This window comes from Homo sapiens, chromosome 4 (genome assembly GCF_000001405.40).
Source record: "Homo sapiens chromosome 4, GRCh38.p14 Primary Assembly".
Lineage (NCBI taxonomy): Eukaryota > Metazoa > Chordata > Mammalia > Primates > Hominidae > Homo > Homo sapiens.
In genome coordinates, this window is record NC_000004.12 from 138,305,074 (window position 1) to 138,324,816 (window position 19,743).

Consider the following 19,743-nt stretch of genomic DNA (forward strand, 5'->3'; position numbering starts at 1 on the left):
CTGAAATAAGATGTATTACAAAAATGTATTTCCATTTCTGCGTCATCAAAGAGAGAAAATGGAGAAAAACAGAAAGTTCATTTTTTTCTCCAAATTTTGTGTCTATGATTAATGAGCTGCTGACTTTGTGGAGAAGGATTCCCCTCTCCACAAGGGTTTCAAAGCATTGTTTGTGCATCCAAAAAGCAGAAGCTCACTCTGAATCCAAAGTTTCAGCTGTTTGAACTCAATGCAACTCATAGTGTGTTGAGGAACAGTAACTAGAAAAAAGAGAAATTAAGCTAACCATTTCTCTCTCCTTTTCACTTGTCAGACTACATCTGTTTAGCCTTGACATTAAATTTCAAATGGGGTATTGCTACATTAAAATGCCAGTGGTCAAAACCCAACGGGAAACAAAGTGTTGTAAAAGATAGCTGAAGAATCTGTAGATGTATTCATTTGCTAGGGCCGCCATAACTAAGTTCCATCACAAACCGGCTCGCTTAAACAACAGAAATGTTTTTTCTCACAGTTCTGGAGGCTAGCTATCTGAAATCAAGATGTTGACAAGATTGGTTCCTTCTGAAGGCTGTGAGGGGAGGGTCTTTTGTCTGTTCCAGGCCTGTCTCCTAGGCTTGTAGATGGTGTCCTCCCTGCAATTTCATATCACCTTCCCTATATGCATGTTTCTGTGTTGAAATTCACCCTTTTTATAAGGAAATTTGTCACGCAGGATTAAATTCCACCTTATAACCTTACTTGAGCTTGATTACCTCCGTAAACACCCTATCACCAAGTAAGGTCACATTCTAAGGTACTCAGGTGTGAAGTCTTCAACACATAAATTTTTAGGGGAAACAATTCAGTCCATAACATTGTCTTATTCCATTCAGTCTAACATAACAAAATATCACAGACTGGGTGTTTTATTCCTCACACTCCTGGAGTCTTAAAAGACCAAGACCAAAGTGCCACTAGATCTGGTGTCTGGCGAGGGTCCTCTTCATAGATGGCTGTCTTTTCACTGTGTCCTCACATGGCAGAAGAAACAAGATACTTCTCTGGGGTCTCTTTTATAAAGGCACTAATTCCATTCATGTAGAAATGTTTTACAGGGTATATAATAACGATTTTCAAATTTCTGAAAGACTGTGCTGAAAAAGAGGGATGAGATTTTTCTGGGCTGCTCTAAAAGACAAAACTAAAATGAATATATAAAATTAGGGAAGTAAAAACTGTCATTAATATAAACAATACATTATTTGAGAACTTGTATATTTCGTAAGAAAGGCTTTGGATTTTGCAGTCATTGAGACAATAATATAAAATCACATCACCAATAATTGCTAGCAGATGAGGACTTATGTTTTTGCCTTCTCTCAGTCTTGGCTATTCCCTTTTAGTAAAATGGGGGTAATAACAGTTTTCATATGATTGCTGTGAAAGCTATATGAGATTATGTATATTTGACATCTAGCACTGTGCTCAGCCCAGATTACAACCTTAGAGAAGATTATTAATATTACTATTACTATTTTGAGTTTTCTAATTATTCTGAAGTAAAGAGACTATTTCAAAGAATTAAAATACTGGGTAGAGGGCCACTTTTCACAGATATTACAGCAATTCTTAAATTGTTTGGAGGTCAAATAAAGGATTTTTAAAAGTGACTTATACATTAATATTTTATGGTTCTAGAAGTAGATGAGAAGCTGAAAGTAGATTGAGTAGCCTAGGTTTTATATCTTCCCCAAACCCCCACCCCCACTAGACAAAAACTAGAGTTTCTATTGCTTACTTTGGTTGTATCATTCCTCAACTACTTAATTTCATAACTTGTAGCAATATTTCCCGTCATTGTTTGATTAATGTTCAAAAATGCCTGTACAAACACCAACATCAATTTTAATATAATCTTCAATGTCAAATATTATCACAAAAACAGCACTGAATATTCAACTGTTGCAGCTCCTTGAAACTGAATGAATGCCCCTAAATACAAATCTGTTGTGGGTTTATTGGAATAAGTACAAATTAATCTCTTCCTCATAAAAGGAAATACAGAGGATCCATCATCCATCCATTCGTTAATTCCTAAGTCATCAAGGTACACCCTGTTGTGTGTCCTGAGACTGCTAGGCATTGGGAATACAAATACTTAGCAGTCTCAGGGCACACAACACGGTATACATCAGGGAAAGTGCCATCTTGCAGGAGTTTTCAGTTTAGTGGAGAAAACATCCAGGTAGACATTTGTTTATTAAAGTGTTACTGCAGGTGATACGGTTTGGCTGTGTCCCCACCCAAGTCTCATCTCAAATTGTAATCCCCATGTGTTGGAGGAAGGACCTGGTGGGAGGTGATTGGATCACAAGGGCGGACTTCCCCCTTGCTATTCTCATGTTAGTAAGTGAGTTCTCGGGAAATACGGTTGTTTGAAAGTGTGTGGCACTTCCACATTTGCTCTCTCTCTCCTGCTCTGCCGTGGTAAGACGGACTTACTTCCTCTTTGCCTTCTGCCATGATTTTAAGTTTCCCGAGGCCTCTTAGTCATGCTTCTTGTTAAGCCTGTGGAACTGAGTCGATTAAGCCTCTTTTCTTCATAAATTACCCAGTCTCAGGTAGTTCTTTACAGCAGTGTAAAAATGTACTAGTACAGCAGGTTACTAAAATGGGCACTTAGCCACAACTTTGATGGTCAGGAAGGGCTTGGCACAAGAAGTGTTGCTAAGCTTAGACTACATGGTTAGTAGTTCACAGGTAAAAAGGAGGAGGAAAGAGTGCTCTGGAAAATAGAAAACTATATGTGAATGTTCAAGAAAGAATATGCATCAAAGAAGGAATTAACCTGGAGTGAGAAGGAACACGATGTGGTGGAAAACTGCATGAGCCCAGAGTCAGGAGACCTTCTGTAGCCATTAAGTAGTGATGCCCATTTCCCATCCGTGAATGCAGGATGCACTGTATAACGCTAAGAATGCTAGCCAGCTTTAGTGTTCATATATTATTTAAGATCTCTTATGCAAATTTTTAAAATGATCACACTCTTATAATGAGATATGAAAAATAGATTGGGGATGACTAGATGTTGAGCTGCTAAAAGCCAAATCTATTTTTTTCTCATCTTTGCAATAACTCAAAGTGCCTAGCATGGTGAAATTATGTAAAATTGAACCAAGATATGCTTCTCTATACAGAAGGAATTTAACATGGAGTCACTCCACAAGTACTGGTTTTTCCAATGGAGAAATGAATAAGAATGGACTCGTTCTGTTAAGAGGAAAGCTCAATCTCCCATGGTGCAGAATGAAGCTGTCTGTGAAGTGCTCTGCAGAGTACTCAAACCGGAAGCCAGATCACGGAGGCCTGGCGTACCTGCAGCAGTGGCTCTCAAACTATTTTACCCCAAAATAAACTTGGTGATTTGTTTAGAATACAAGTTCCCTTGTTTTAGCTTCCTACAGTCTAATTGTGTTGCCCCAGGCAGAAGCGCATGAGTCAGATGTACACTCAAGTTTCATTGCCAGAACCACCAAGTCCTTGCCCCTGACGTTGGGTCTTTCCTGTGTTTTCAACCTTTCGTCTCACTTTAAACCCTACCTCAATCCTTGCTTCAACCACGTGGAAGTGGCTCAAACATACCAGTTTATTCATGCCTCCATGCCTTTGTTATCAGCCCTCCCTCTATTTTAAAATGCTCTTGCCCTTAAAATGCAGTGTTCTGTTTCCCAGGTAACTGCCCACACATATTTCAAGACTCATCTATTTTAAATTTCTTCTCTGCCTTTCTTGTTTAGACTTGACCGCTCACTCCTTAGTGTCTTTACTTTAACCCTGACCTGTGATGTAACCTATAAAACATTTCTCCACTTATTTTTTATACATTTCTTTCTTCTCTATTACAGTATTTGATACGATAAGCACTTAATAAATGTTTGCTAAATGGATAAATGCATGAATGTATGAATGAATGAGATACATTCTAAAACAGTGCCTAAAGCATGGATTCTGCAGTTAGACTGCCTGGTTTCAAATCCTTTCTCTATCACTTACCAGGTGTATGAATTTAGGAAAGTTACTTTAAGCCTCTGTCTCAGTTTCTCAATTATAAATGGGAATGATAATATAGTATCTGCCTCATGTAGCTGTTAAGAGGTTTTAAATAAACTAATATTTGTAAAGCTGTAAAGCACTTAAAAGAATGTCTGGAACATAGTGTTATCAGCGTTTATAAAATAAACGAATATACTACAGCAAAGATGATGAATGTTTAAATTTATATCTAGAAACAGAGATTGAGAGCAGAGACAAATCCACAAGACGTAAGAAGAAAAAAGTGATGGGCTTGATGATTGAGGAAGAAAAAGGACTGGAATGAAGTCTTGGGATTCCAATGGTCACTGGAAGGGGTCGGCAAGCTTCTTCCATTAATTCATTGCCTTTAATTATTTGATCATAGGAAAGGAGAGTCTGGCCTTGTGGAAAAACACACAATCAGTTTCATTAGAAAAGAGAGAGTCAGATGTTTTTAAAACAGCAACAACAATATGCCCTGAATAGTAGAGAAACAAAAGAGCGATTGATCTACAAAGGCAAGACCCAGATTGAGACCACAGTGAACCCTGCAAAACAGAGGAGCCCCTGGGTGGGAGGGGATATAACTGGAACTCTGGGAATGTAACGGGCATGGTGTGCTTGTCTGATGGACAGGGCAGCTTAGGGGAATAAGTCTCTGCAGCGTTGTAGTGAAGAGAGAATACGGGACAACTGCAGGACCACAGCTCAGCCAAGAGTAAGCATAAATTTAAACATATTTCTTGATTTCTCTAAAGTCTCTCTTTTCTGTTAAATACAAATAATAATGCATGCTTCATTCAGCAAGTTATTGTGAGGACTAAATGAGACAGTATTGAAGTTACTATGTAACAGTAAATAAGGTACAGATAATCCTCAGTACAAGCACGATAGTGTGGGACTGCAAAGATGATTGCGCAAAGCAATCTTAATAATCAATGAGAAAACTAATGATTGGGCCTTGGCCTTTAAAAAGTTTTGCCAAAACATCAAAATCTTTCTTGCTGTCATTGACAAAGGTACAAGCAAATAAAAATAGTAAAACTAATACCTAGTACAATATAACTTAAAACATGAGAAATGTTTAAAACTGAAGTTACTTTTCATAAAAACTTATCAAAAGTAGTTTAAACCATGCTTGCCTCCTTGTCATGTAACTAACAATGTGGAGCACCATCTTTCTTTACGCACTGGCGAATTATCATACGCTTTTCTAAGTTCGGATCGGCTTCCCGCATTGTATTCTTCGTTCTTTCAGTGTCTTGAAACACCTCCAAGAGTTTTTTCTAACGTGAAAATTTTCTGCCAGCACTACTTCCTCTAGGACATCTTCATTCTGTTCATCACAACTACCTTTCTCATTTATGTTAAGTTCTCTTTTAGTAAATTTCTGTGGCCTCATACCTAGAAACTGAAATGACAGCAATGTCAATATTCCATAGTCAGCTGTCTTCTTATCGGATCTAATTTCACATCCAGCATTATTGCTTTTCATTTCTTGGCTGCACTTTCGTCTGTTGCACAATTCCTTCTTTTAATCATCCGTTTTGTAAAATGTCATGTGAGTTTATCATGGGAAGACATGGAGGCAACACAATTACATGCTTTGCTGGGTGGTAACTGAGTAACAGATGTGCAGTAGCCATACTGAGGTGATCCGTCACTCATCATGATGTGCATCTGATATTTATGTAGTGATTTCTGAACTGAAGTGCTATCAGTGAGGTTAGAACTTCATGAAATTGCAGTTAATATACCATAGTTAATGAAACGTGAACCATGCTATTGAGGGACTGGTGTTATTTAACTAAATCATGGTAACTGAAATGGATACATATGAATTAGCAAATTGAGAGCTGCCAGTATTTTTAATTTCACCCTTTCAATGTTCTTAATTTCTTTTTAATCAGTAAGACTTATGATTTTATGCACAGCATTGTGATGAGGATCCCCAGGTTTTGATGGTTAAGCTGCAATTTGAGTAAGAGGTTCAAAATTAGGCTTAGTTCCTAACCCCACTCTCTGCGTGATCCTCTTTCCCACACCATTCCAAACATGTCAGTGTGGCACACACCCAGGCTGAGAACCACTGCTCTAAAGCCTTCCACATAATTGAAAGTTTAGTCACTCTAGCTTTGAATTTTTCTGCTTAAAAAAAAATTAAGCTGTTAATTTAGAATTTTTGTGTCTTTGCTTTTAATTATTTCTTCTTATTTTGTTTTTGCTTATTTCATTTCCATTTGCTCATTTCATTGTAAAGAAATGGCTCTGAGAGAAATTTAAATTACCTTTGACTTTTCAGGGTATGCCCCTAGATCTCACTTCACCCCTTTTCCCTCTTTTCATCTCAAGAAACAAAATTAAGAATAAAAGTAAGGGGAGATAGTGTGAGTGAGAAAGAACAGAAATCTAGCCCCATGTAAATTAAAATGTTAAAAATAAAAAAAATCACATATTTTAAAAGGATTTTTCCATTAAACGTAGGAATTAAATAAGAATTTATGTTAGAGAACTAGGTTTGGGTAGACAAAAGCTTTCACGAAAATGTTTATTTTAGGTTTTTTTTTAATATCAAGTATTGTGAATATTTTAAATACGAAATAATAGGGAAATGGCAGAAAAAATATACTAACTAGGTGGAGTATTGCATAAATTTAGTGAATGTAAATGTTAGTTTTAAATACATTGTAGCAAGAAGAAAAAATGCAAAAGACACAATGTGAAGTGAAAAAAGTGGGAAACAGAATACTTTCCATGTAAGACAACAATGCAAGGGAGTTGATGCTTCTGCCCCTTTCCTCACAGCAGGAATGTCATTGCTCTCTCCCTCCCAGCCCTTCTCCCTCCCAGCACAAGCAACAAGATGATGCTTGGCCAATTCCTTAGAGTTACTGCTCAGAAGAAACACTGCAATGAGAAATAGTAACTGGCATGGCAAGGTCCTGTTATCTTCAGGTTCCTGCTATTAATAGAATCAAAATAGTAGACAAAACCCATCCTGATTCTTAACATAAGTTTAATAGTATGCTCCACTCTGAATTTCTAAGCCTACCCCCAACCACATCCCAAATGGTGTACCACTGTGGCCCACTGCCAGAAATAATATAATAATATTCCTCACAGCGGATCAGAGTTATACCCAGAGGAATAGAAGGTCGATCTACCTGGAATTCCTTCTCCTCTTGTTGTGGAGCAGGTTTATTGTGTGCGGGTCACCAACTTGTCTGAGTCCAGTGAGAGAAAACACCTGTGCATACAACAAGCTGCATGAAGAGACTTTTTACTACTTACAGATAGGCAGCAAGACAACAGAAGCCCGTGACACATTGTAAGCCAGTCTGCAAGGCTCAAGAAATTTGCCCAGGATAGATGGAGTGTCCTCCATGCATACCCCACTTGTATCAGCTGAGGGACCCCAGAAAGCCTCTCAACCTTGGTTTTATGCTGTGGGGCAATGAGATTTGCTGGGCTAAAACATTGAAGGTTATCTTATTTCAGTAAAGCGGGGTCCCAGAACAGAGCTCAGGCTGTTCCAGCCAGCCCTCCTTATCTCAGAATGTTGCATTCCCAGAACATTCTACAGCTGTTCTTGAGAACTAGAAATGAGAAAAGGGAGGACAATAGGGCTGGTCCAAGGCCACCCAGAGAACTGTTCTACATTTTTCCTCCCCATCTCCCTTCCCTGCCCCTTTCTCCTCCTCCTCCTTCCTCCCCCTCCTCCTCTTCTTCCTCCCCTTCTTCTTCTTTTCCCCTTTGATACCTATCTGTCCTCCTTAAAGAATTCTAGTCACATCCTGGTAGTGTCCCAGCTGGCTTGAGACCAGAGAGGTTGTCTTTTCTGATAACTTTGCATCCTGAAATGGTGAAAACGAATGCATAAATAACTGATCTTATGGGCTTTTGAAGGCATCTACTCCCCAGTGTGTTTCTAATTCTCTAGGGTAGAATGTTTACAGGAGGACAAATAAACTCCCCTCTTGATAATATTAATCCTCTTTTATAACATATCTGGATTTGTGTCACTTTTCTATTCTCCTTTTACCATGAGTGAGAAGAGAGAAGAATAAAAGGGATACCAAAATATAGGGACTGTGAAATATTGAAAGCTGAGGATTGGGAATTCATAGAAACTATTTCTCTGGATACTATTTTTTCTTACAGCACAACCACATGACTGAAGACAGAGATCATCTGGGTCAGTGTTTCAGAAAATGTTGCCAAGAAACTTCAAATGCAGATTCCTGGACCTCCGTGCAAACTACTATATTAGAAGTGAGAGTGGGGGTGAGATGGAGGAGAGGTGATATTGAGAACCTGCATTTTTTAAAACTTTTATTTTAGTTTCAGGGGTACATGTGAAGGTTTGTTATATAGGTAAGCTCATGTCACGTGGGTTTGTTTTACAGATTACTTCATCACCCATATATTAAGCCTAGTACCGAATAGTTCCTTTTTCTGCTCCTCTCCCTCCTTCAACCCTCCATGCTCAAACAGACCCCAGTGTCTGTTGTTCCCTTTATGTTCATGAGTTCTCATCATTTATCTCTCACTTATAAGTGAGAACATGTAGTATTTGGTTTTCTGTTCCTCTGTTACTTTGCTAAGGCAAATAGCCTCCAGCTCTGTCCATGTTCCCACAAAAAGACATGATCTCGTTGTTGTTTTTTTTATAGCTGCGTCATATTCCATGGTGTATATCTACCACATTTTCTTTATCCAATCTGTCACTGATGAGCATTTAGGTTGATTCTGTATTTTTGCTGTTGTGAATCATGCTTAAATAGACATTCGTGACCGGGCGCAGCGGCTCACACCTATAATCCCAGCGCTTTGGGAGGCCGAGGCGGGTGGATCACGAGGTCAAGAAATTGAGACCATCCTGGCCAACATGGTGAAACCCCGTCTCTACTAAAAATACAAAAGTTAGCTGGGCATGGTGGTGTGTGCTTGTAGTCCCAGCTACTCGGGAGGCTGAGGCAAGAGAATTGCTTGAACCCGGGAAGCAGAGGTTGCAGTGAGCCAAGATCACGCCACTGCACTCCAGCCTGGTGATGAAGCGAGACTCCATCTCAAAAAGAAAAAAAACAAAACAAAAACATTCGTGTGCATGTGTCTTTATGGTAGAATGATTTTAACCCTTCGAGAAATCACCATACTGCTTTCCACAATGGTTAAACTAACTTACATTCCCACCAACAATGTACAAGTGTTTCCTTTCCTCTGTAACCTTGTCAGCAACAGTTACTTTTTGACTTTTTATCAACAGCCATTCTGACTTGTGTGAGGTGGTTTTGATTTGCATTTCTCTAATGTCAGTGATATTGAGCCTTTTTTCAATGCTTGTTGACCACATGTATGTCTTTTATTAAAAAAAAAAGTGACTGTTCATGTCCTTTGCCCACTTTTTAATGGGGTTGTTTTTCTTTGGTAAATTTGTCTTAGTTCCTTATAGATGCTGGATATTAGACCTTTGTCAGGTGCACAGTTTGCAAGTATTTTCTTCCCATTCTGTAGGTTGTCTGTTTGTTAACAGTTTCTCTTCCTGTGCAGAAGCTCTTAAATTTAATTAGATCCCATTTTTAAATTTTTGCTTTTGTTGGGATTGCTTTTGGTGCCTTTGTCATGAAATCTTTGCCCATGCTTGTGTCCTGATTGGTATTGCCTAGATAAGAAAATCTAGAAGAAACTATAAGAAAACCCTAGAAGACACTAGGGTTTTTAGAGTTTTGGGTTTTACATTTAAGTCTTTAATCCATCTTGAGTGAATTTTTGCATACGGTTTAAGGAAGGGGTCCAGTTTCAATTTTCTGCATATGGCTAGCCAGTTATCCCAGCACCATTTATTGAATGTGGAGTCTTTTCTCCATCGCTTGTTTTTGCCACCTTTGTTGAAGATCAGATGGCTGTAGATCTGTGGCCTTGTTTTGGGGCTCTCTATTCTGTTCCATTGGTCTATGTGCCTGTTTTTGTTATCAGTATCATGCTGTTCTGGTTACTGTAGCCCTGTAGTATAGTTTGAAGTCAGGTAGTGTGATGCATCCAGCTTTGTTCTTGCTTAGGATTGCATTGGCTATTAGGGTTCTTTTTTGGTTCCATATGAATTAAAAAATTTTTTCTAGTTCTCTGAAGAATGTTGTGGGTAGTTTGATAAGAATAGCATTGAATCTATAAATTGCTTTGGGCAGTATGGCCATTTTAAGGATATTGATTCTTCCTATCCATGAGCATGGGATGTTTTTCCATTTGTTTGTGTCTCCTCTGATTTATTTGACAGTGTTTTGTAATTCTTATTGTAGAGATCTTTTATCTCCATGGTTATCTGTAGTCCTAGGTATTTTATTTTATTTTTTTTATGGCAGTTGTCAGTTGTGAATGGAATTGCCTTCCTGAATTAGTTCTCAGTTTGGCTGTTGTTGGTGTATAAGAATGCTAGTGATTTTACTACATTGATTTTGTGTCATGAAACTTTGGTGAAATTGTTTATCAGCTGAAGACTATGGAGTTTTCTAGATATAGCATCATGTCATCTACTAACAGGGATAGTTTGACTTCCTCTCTTCCTATTTGGATGTGCTTTATTTCTTTCTCTTGCCTGATTGCTCTAGCTTAGACTTCCAACACGATGTTGAATAGAAGTGGTGAGTGAGAGCATCCTTGTCTTGTATCAGAGAACCTGCTCTTTTTTTCTCAGTGTTTAAAAAAAACTTTTTATTGTAAAATCTAACAGATATAGAAGACTATATAAAATAAACCAAATACCCTTATAACCATAGCTAGGTTTAAAAAATATAATTTTTCCATCCATCTATCCTAATCACAGTCCCTTCCCTCTTTTCAAAAGTAATCACAGTCCTGATCTTTACGGTAATCAAGTCTTTATTTTCTTTGTAACTTTACCACCCAAAAGTTCATGCCTAGTTTAGTTATGCTTTGTATTCCTTTTTCTAGAACAGGACTGTTTTGTTTTTAATTGTTCCTCCTTTCGTTTATTTCTTTTTTTTTTTCCAATGGGGTTTTGGGAACACGTGGTATTTGGTTACATGACTAGGTTCTTTAGTGGTGATTTCTAAGATTATGGTACAACCATCACCCAAGCAGTGTACCCTGTACCCAATGTATAGTCTTTTATCTCTCACCCACTCCCACCCTTTCCCCCGAGTCCCCAAAGTCCATTGTATCATTCTTATGCCTTTGCATCCTCATAGCTCCCACTTGTGAGAACATATGATGTTTGGTTTTCCTTTCCTGAGTTACTTCACTTAGAATAATTGTCTTCAGTTCCAACCAGGTTGCTTCAAATGCCATTATTTCATTCATTTTTATGACTGAATAGAATCCCATGGTGTGTGTGTGTGTGTGTGTGTGTGTGTGTGTATAAAATAATTTCTTTGTCTATTCTTTGAATGATGAATGATGAGCATTGGGCTGAGAGAACCTACATTTTTAACAACTTATTTAGGTGATCCTCAGGAACTCTAAATCGTGGGAATCACTGCTAGCCTATCTCCTTATACACTTAAGAAGCAAGATCTACAGCCTCCAATGTATCACATTTTATTTCCATAAGCCTTCAAAACCGATCAAGGGTGATGAGGATGGCATTATTTATCTCAATTATGTATTTTCATTTTCCTTCCTAAAAGAAGATTATATGCCTCTATCTGTTGCCATGTGACTTGAAATGCTTCTCTTTGGGAAAGGCATACTCCATGGTCTGAGGAGGTCATTTACATCACACTTGGCCATGTAAATTACCATGGCCAATGCAATGTGAGTAAAAGTGATATCTGCTACCTCTGGGTAGATGCTTCAAGAGCCATCCCATGGCTCTGTCACTATTCTTTCCTTTTGCCACAAAACTAAGGTAAGGCTCTTTCCTTCAGTCTCAATCACCAAATAAGGAAGATATGTGAGGCAGACCCACAGCTCTCCTAGAACCTACATTGACAGAGTAGGAAATAAACTGTTATTGTTGTAAAGCACTGAGACTTTGAACTTGTTTTCATTTTTTAATGGAGCATAACATAAAGAAAGATTTTCAATCCATGGAGATAAAGCAATTTTTTAAATTTTCTTTCCCATGACAAAAATATGGCCAAGTAAAAGCGAAAAGTAGCTTGTGCTGCCTCTAAGGTGGTGCAGTAAGTGCAGCTACGAATGCCCATTGAAAGGACAGTCCCAATGTGTATACTAGCTACATACTAGTTTCATCCTGCCTTAGCACCCCCATCCTGCACTGTCTCAAGGACAGCAATAGAGCTTTACTCTGTCTTCAAAACAAGGGAAGGATGGATTATTTGCCCTGCCCTCCTCTTACACATATATACAGTTTGGGCAAAAGGAATACCACCAGGCAAATTGTTTTCAAATCTATCTAATTTCTTCGAGACTTTTCCTGTTTGTTTTTCTAAAATCACCTTCTCTCCTTCCATGGCAACAGGACAAGACAAAACGGTTCTCTTTTAATATTCAAGAGCTGTTGCTCTCAGACAATGTAGTGCTATTCAGCAGAAAAGCCCTATTCAGCATATTAAAAAATCCCATTAACTCTTCCCTTCTCATTACTTGTGAATTACAGATACCCTGGTCAATACCCTTGTCAGAAACTGATTTCATGTTTCTGACATCACAGGTTTTAAACACATATCAGAATGAAAAACAAAGTATATGGCTATTTCTATCTACTCATGTCTCACTGTAAATAAATGAAATGGCAGGGTTCTGAAGTTGATATATAACATTAACTTAATAAATACTATTTGAATCTGGAGACTTATACATGGAAAGGAATTTCCAGAAGCTACCTTTCTTTGGCTCCCAGTCATCTAAATTAATAAAAACATTCTGCAATTAAAAAAAATCTAAAAGATACTGGAAGCAAGTTTAATATGCTGAAAATATACATGCAAGTCTACTCTATACATGAGTGACAAGTAAGTCACATAGAATTATATTAAAGCAATTATTACATGTCATTTGTGCTTCTTGATTAGTCCAGAGTCCCTATATAGTACAAAAGCAAATATCTTTGTTTGATGACAACAAGCCAATAATTCCTCGAGGTATAACTGGAACCATGTCATTTGACACAATATGCTTTAAAATGGTATGTGGCTTCAAAACCCAAAGATTTATCAAATATAATTTTGCAAGTGTGCTTACAGGAGCTAATATAAACCTTAGTTTCAAATATTTTGTTTCAAATGTAAGGAAAAGATGCTTCCATATGGAATAGAGCCATTTAGGAGCCACAATCAATCACTGAAGATAATCAAATGTCCCTGAGCTTCATGACCCAGGCTAATTGAGTTAGAGGTAATGATACTTGAATATCCTCTTGTTGCCTGATTTAGAAGCCCATGACACTGCTGAGATACTTATATTTAACTCTTAACAGGATTCCATTATGGTCCAGAAGCTTCTGAGACTGTTGAGGTTGGAAAAAAAAAAAGGGTGCTCTAAACTCCACCAGGACTACCTCCAAGGGGACAATTCTCAGACCAAGATAACTAGTGGAAATCTGGCAAATTATTTATACAGTTTTTCCTCTTCCTTTCTTAACTACAAGAATTCAAGACATTCCAAGAGGTTTAGGAGCAGTCTACTTGGTCCCACACTTCCTGGAATACCTCAGAAGACCCCAGAATTGTTTTATAACCCCAGGGAACATCCAAATTTCTATAATATGAAAAAAAATACATGCACACTGATTATGGGCTAGACTGTGTGCCTATCAGACTTATATACAACAAACACTTGGATACATCCAGAATCCTTAAATTTTGGGGGTACAAAATATGAGGCTTCATTCATCAACTGGCATTCACCACCACAGGCATTGCGACCCCACCACATTTATTATCACTTTGATGGGGACACGTATGCCCTCCATTTCTCGGGTATTCTTTTCCTTCTCTTACACCTTCTTCTTATATCAATTTCTTCCCCATCACACTTCCAAAATATATGACCATAATAAGAATGCCATCTAGACTGCTTAGGGCATTTGTTCATTAAAAAGCCAACTCTCAGCTAAATGAAGAGCCAAAGATCATTAGAGGTGACAGAGCATGGAATTTTTGAAATGAGTACCTCCCATAAGGCCTCAAATATCACCTTGGCCATTTATGACTCTCTTGGTGTGTATTTTATACACCATTTATTTAAAACAGCTTAGAGAGAAGGTCACTCAGGTATTTGGATGTGGGTTAACATCTAAAATGAACCACGGTTTATTATTCTTCTTATTGTCCACTTACTAAGGATAGTATAGTAGATGGTTGAAGTCTATGGCCTCATTTAAGAAAGTGCAAAAACGGCACTTTTCCTCTGTCCATATTAGAATGAATATCTTGATATTTAAGGCTCTAACCCTTTAGGAGTGAGTGGTAATTTTGTGCATATAGTATATCTGCACTTCATCCTTCTAACTCTTGAGCATAATATTCTAACTCAGGCAGAGAAGAGCTGTGGCAAAAGGATGTTAGTGTTGGCAGCAATGTTCCCTTTAAATGGATTGGATCTATAAGACAATCTTATCAAGCTTGTTCTAGCATAAGTGGCAGCTTTATGTTTAAGAACAAGAGGAGGTAGTGAAGGATACCGTGATGCATCATAAAGCTGCAGGATTTTTACAAGCCAAGATAGATGTTGAGATAATGAGAACAGATTCACTTGTCAGAGGCTCTGATGTCAAAACTGGAGTTTTCCATTATTTTCAAAAAGAATACTTTTTAATACATTCACAACACAAAAGCATGCAACAGCAATTGATGATCCACAGAAATATATGTGATTAATATAAAAAAGAAGCATCTACCTCTGGTTGTCCAGAGTGCCTGTGGGTGATATGATAGTTACTTTAAACATTATATATTTTTGAATGTTAACTTGTGCAAGTCCATCTTGTTTGCTCTCATTAGTCTGGAACTACTTGAAGGGCCATTCTACAAAAAGCAATTCATTTCAGACTATGAGCAGGATTTTTATGAAACTTCTACACAAATGGGAACTGAAGAAATTTAGTCACCATAAGGCAAAAGATGAAGCTCCATCATTAAAATATCTTTGAGAGGAACTGAGAAGACTCAAATGGGTAAGGCTCAGAATGTAAAGAGATTAATACTAAAATGCCCCCAGAGTACAGTGTGAAACTGTTAATGTCCTATGAATTTGTTAACCTAGAAAAAGAATGGGTTGTGAATCTGAAAGTGTGGTCATGTTACAGAAGCATTAAGAGAATTTAGGAATGAGAGGATTGCCAGAGCTACTAGGGGCCATCTGATTTCTTTCTGCGATGCTCTCTGGGTGAAGCATAGAAATAGGCATGATGTCGAATACTTCTGCTTTAAAAGACCAGGACTGAATATCCTAAACAAGGACCAAAGAAAGTATCTTGGATTCTGAAAAGGAAGTGGGGACAGAGGGCATTCTAGTCAGAACTCCACTAGAAAAAGAAATGACTTAACTATTTGTTGCTTACTGATAAACACAATCACTGGACATTTAGGAAAGAAGTTATTTAGTATCAGGGATCAAAAAGAATTTGGAAGGTTCCAACGGGATTAAGAAATGAAAATAGAGGAAGATGTATGAGTAGCTTGTTTCAGTATATAAACCAGTGATGTAGGCATATGGTGAACACCATTTTTTAGTTTGATGAGAAAACTTAGTAGAATTTTATTTAAAAATGTAAAGGATGTCAAGCACTAGGTCCTATTATTTCCCTCAAGACCAGTACCCCCAGCTGCTCCAAATGGAGCAGCAAAGTGAAATTAGCCAATTCCCTTGAAAGGTTGTAGTGGTTCAGCTTCAGGGGGCCTGTTAATTTTCCTTCTCCAGGGGTTCCAAGTGAGGTCTGAGAGCAGAGCAGGGAGGCAGAGTGAAAAGAGGAATTAATAAGCTTTCTAAAGTATTGCTACCCTTACTTCTTTCAAGGGAATTAGTTAATTTCACTTTGTAACTCCATTCAGATCAGCTCAAGTTTGGGAAAATCTCCAATTAAATAGAGGGAGAGGGGAGACAAAGGCAATTGGTAGGAAAGAGAGGGAATGGACAGAATTTAAATCGGTGACCTCAATCCAAACATTGCCCCAAATACTCAAAGTACTTTACAAATAAATATTACATATATTTATGAAAGATCTGGCCAGGACATAAAAAGTTTTCATTTTTGTTAATTTTATTCTTCCTTCGAATCTTGGTAAAACTTCTGAAATATAAATATTTTCTATTTCACCTGAATCACAGGGTTCACAGCAATATCTTTATGCCTGATCCATATAACTTTCTCTCAATTTCTTCACACCTGGATGGTATGAATGTCTCTACCCATTTCTGATATGAAATAACAGTATCATGTGTTTTAAAATTGAAAACAAGAAATAAACACATAGAGGGGACTTCTCCTAAGCACTGCCTTGAATTATAAAAAGGGAAAAAATGACAATTGAATGAAAGAAACTAATAGAAACAAAAATAAAGAGATGATAAGTGGAAGAGGCTAAAAGGGAAGATATACATGAAAATAGTAAGCACATATAAATTACCTATGGACATGAAGTATCATATTTTAAAGGTATTATAAAGGGCTTAAGTCAAAACATTAATTTGATTTATAATATATAGACAATGGACAAATTGTCCCTAAGAAACACATAAAAATCACTGAAATAAATAATATAATACAGCCTTTAGCCTAGTGTAAATAAGTGTTCAATAAAGTACTAGTATTTTAAAATTATTTTCCATTATCTGTAGAACACTACTGTTTATGCTTCTCTAGAATATTTAAGACCTTTTCTTATAAAATAATATTTTACCTTTGACAAACTGGACTGACATGAACCAATAATATTAAAACATTAAGGATATACAGGCTAGTCTTTTGATAGGTAACATGATTAAATAGAAAAAGCACAGTTTTGGTGCCAGGTCACAAATAAAATTTATGTTTTTAGGCAGACTCCATATGTGGCATTGGGCACTTTCCTAGGCCATCTTAAGAAAGAAATATCAATCTTCTTTCAGAAAATGAGGATAATAAGATCTGCTGTGTAAGACTAGGGGACTAGAGGACATGGATGTAAGGCACCCAAGACGGTACATCTGCAGTGTCCAACAAACGATAGCTAGTATTATTGTTACTAAAAGTTAAATATGGGTAAGGCTAGGGCTGAAAAGCCATGTAAGAGCTCATCTTATCAGCAGACTCCCAAACTAGTTTTGCATCAATATAACCTGTATAAAACTTAACAAAAACAGAGATTTGAAGGCCCCACTTCAAATCTGTTCGATCAGAATTTCTGTGAATGCTGTCCAGAAATCTAATTCCAATTCACCATGTTATTTGTATTAATAATACTTAGATGGGCTAGGTCACTTGCCAATATCTTACAGTGTCCATGCAAAAACTAGAATCCTAGTCTTCCTTTGTCTCCATTTGAGCTTGCCTATTATATCACTGTATTTCTATAATCAACTACAGTCTTGTATTCATGGTGTCCTTAGAAGTCTAATTATTATTATTAACCATTTTGTGGTCTGATTTTGTACACCTGGTAAATCTCACTATGTTTTTTTTTTCCCCAAACTCCAGACTCCTCCTGGCAGACAATAACCAAGCATATACTTTGCCCACTTTCTATGGATTCTTCCTGTTACTTTGCCACTGTTTTGTTTACAAACACAGAGCTGAATCAAGAATTCCTATATAGTAGCTTCACTGAAAGCACATAAAAACAATATTTAACCTAAATACAAACTTGTGCTTCTAAACAAGATAGAGTAGCAGGGACCAGATTTACCTTCCTACCTGAAACAACTGAAAATCTGAACCAAATATAGAAAACAACAGTGCTTAAGACACTGGCCATCAGGCAACAAAGGACAGTGATCACTAAAATGTGGGAAACAATGCCTCCCATGCTCCAGCTCACTTCCTAAAGTGAATTTCCAGGCCATCGTGTAGGAAGAGAACAGACTGACAGAACTAAAAAAGGTTCAAATCATACAACGTATTGTTTCTGGCCACAATAAAATTAAATTCAAAATCAAAAACAGAAAGATCCCTAGAAAATCCCCAAATATTTGGAAACTGAATAACCATCTACTAAATAACCTATTGGTCAAAGAAGAAATCAAAGTAAAATTAGGAAGTATTTTGTAATAAATGAAAATGAAAATACACATATCAAAAATTGTCGAATATGGCCAAAGTAATGTATGAGAGAAAGTTATAGCATGAATACGCCTACATTAGAAAAGAAGAAAGGTCTTAGGTTTCACCTTAAAAAAAAGGAAAGAAAATTAAGTCTTTAAGTATAGAAAGGGAAATAACAAAGATCAGAGTGAAAATTAAGAAAATAGTAAACAAAGAAACAATGAAGAACATAAATTATGAAAACCAAAATGCGGTTATTACTGATCAATAAAATCAATAAACTGCTAACCATACTGATCAGAAAAAAAGAGAAAACATAGAAATTACTAATATCTGAAATGAGAGAGGTGCTATCATTACAGATTGTACAGATATTAAAAGAATTATAAAGGGATATTTTTAATAACTTTATAGTAATAAATTTGATGACAGACAAAATGGACAATTTCCTTGAAAAACAAACAACACTTACTGAAGAAGAAATAGCTTGCATAGTCTCATATACTTTAGTATATAGCCTCATATATACTAAAGAAATGAAAGCTGAAATTTAAAAAACCTTCTCACAGAGAGAAGTGCTAAGTGGGGGTGGGGAGGAGATTACAAAGGGGCATGAGAAAATTTTTGGAAATTAATGGCTATGTTTATTATTGTGATGATGGTTTCAAAGATGACTGTCTATGTCAAGATTTATCAAATTGTAAGTTTTCAATATGTGCTGTCAATTGCATTTCAATAATGCTGATTAAAACTGTGATGAAAAAATACTTATTGCATTTAAAAAGCATGTGGTAGTTGGTAGTTTGTATTTGCTCAAGAGGACTCCAAAAATTAATCAGAAACATACAATTCCAATCTTAGAAAATGATCACAAAAAGAACCTTAAACCAGAAAAGTGAGAATCCCTCAAGTTTAATGACATTGTAGATCTTCTAGAGGTGTTTTTTTCCTTTCTTGGATGAAAGGTGATTATTTGAATTTCTAATAAAAAATCTAACATTTTCAAAGATAATGTGTTTACTAATGGTGAGGAGAAAATACCTCTAATCACTATGACTGAAATCAGAGAGGAATAATATCCCCATGTCAAAGTGTGTGCAAGTCTGTCCACACCTGTTTCTATTCATCAACAGTATCTGTGCACTTCATAGGCCTCTCATGAGAATAGAATAAAATAATGCCTAAAAGGAGCTTTTTGTATAAAATGTTTAGTGTTTCTAATATTTTGAATGAACAAGACTCATAAGGTGGAATGGAAAATAATTTTATTCATTTATCAAATCTGCCTTTACATATCATTCACAGGTGATTATTCCACCCTTCACTGCCTCCCACATCCCCAGTTTATATGGAATCTAGGGAAGGTCCCATGATTTTTCTGGTCAAACTCAAAAAAGTAAGAAGTCTTTATTGTCCCAAGCTGTTCTGGAACACTGAGTATGTTCTGCCCAATGTAATACCAACCCTGGATATAATTCAGTGTTAAAGCTTCGCTCCTGATTAACACTGACCACCTACAGTGTGGG

General features: G+C 36.9%; 2 long non-coding RNA genes across 2 annotated transcripts in view; one reads left to right on the top strand and one right to left on the bottom strand.

Moving 5' to 3' along the window:
• Positions 1 to 7,614, bottom strand: part of LINC00498 (long intergenic non-protein coding RNA 498) — a 35,573-nt gene extending 27,959 nt beyond the window's left edge. Inside the window, exon 1 of the long non-coding RNA NR_198994.1 lies at positions 7,221 to 7,614. This is a non-coding gene — a long non-coding RNA (long intergenic non-protein coding RNA 498). The remainder of the gene's footprint in view (positions 1 to 7,220) is intronic.
• The window catches only part of LINC00499 (long intergenic non-protein coding RNA 499), a 114,634-nt gene continuing 99,528 nt past the window's right edge, over positions 4,638 to 19,743 (top strand). Inside the window, exon 1 of the long non-coding RNA NR_051987.1 lies at positions 4,638 to 4,774. This is a non-coding gene — a long non-coding RNA (long intergenic non-protein coding RNA 499). The remainder of the gene's footprint in view (positions 4,775 to 19,743) is intronic.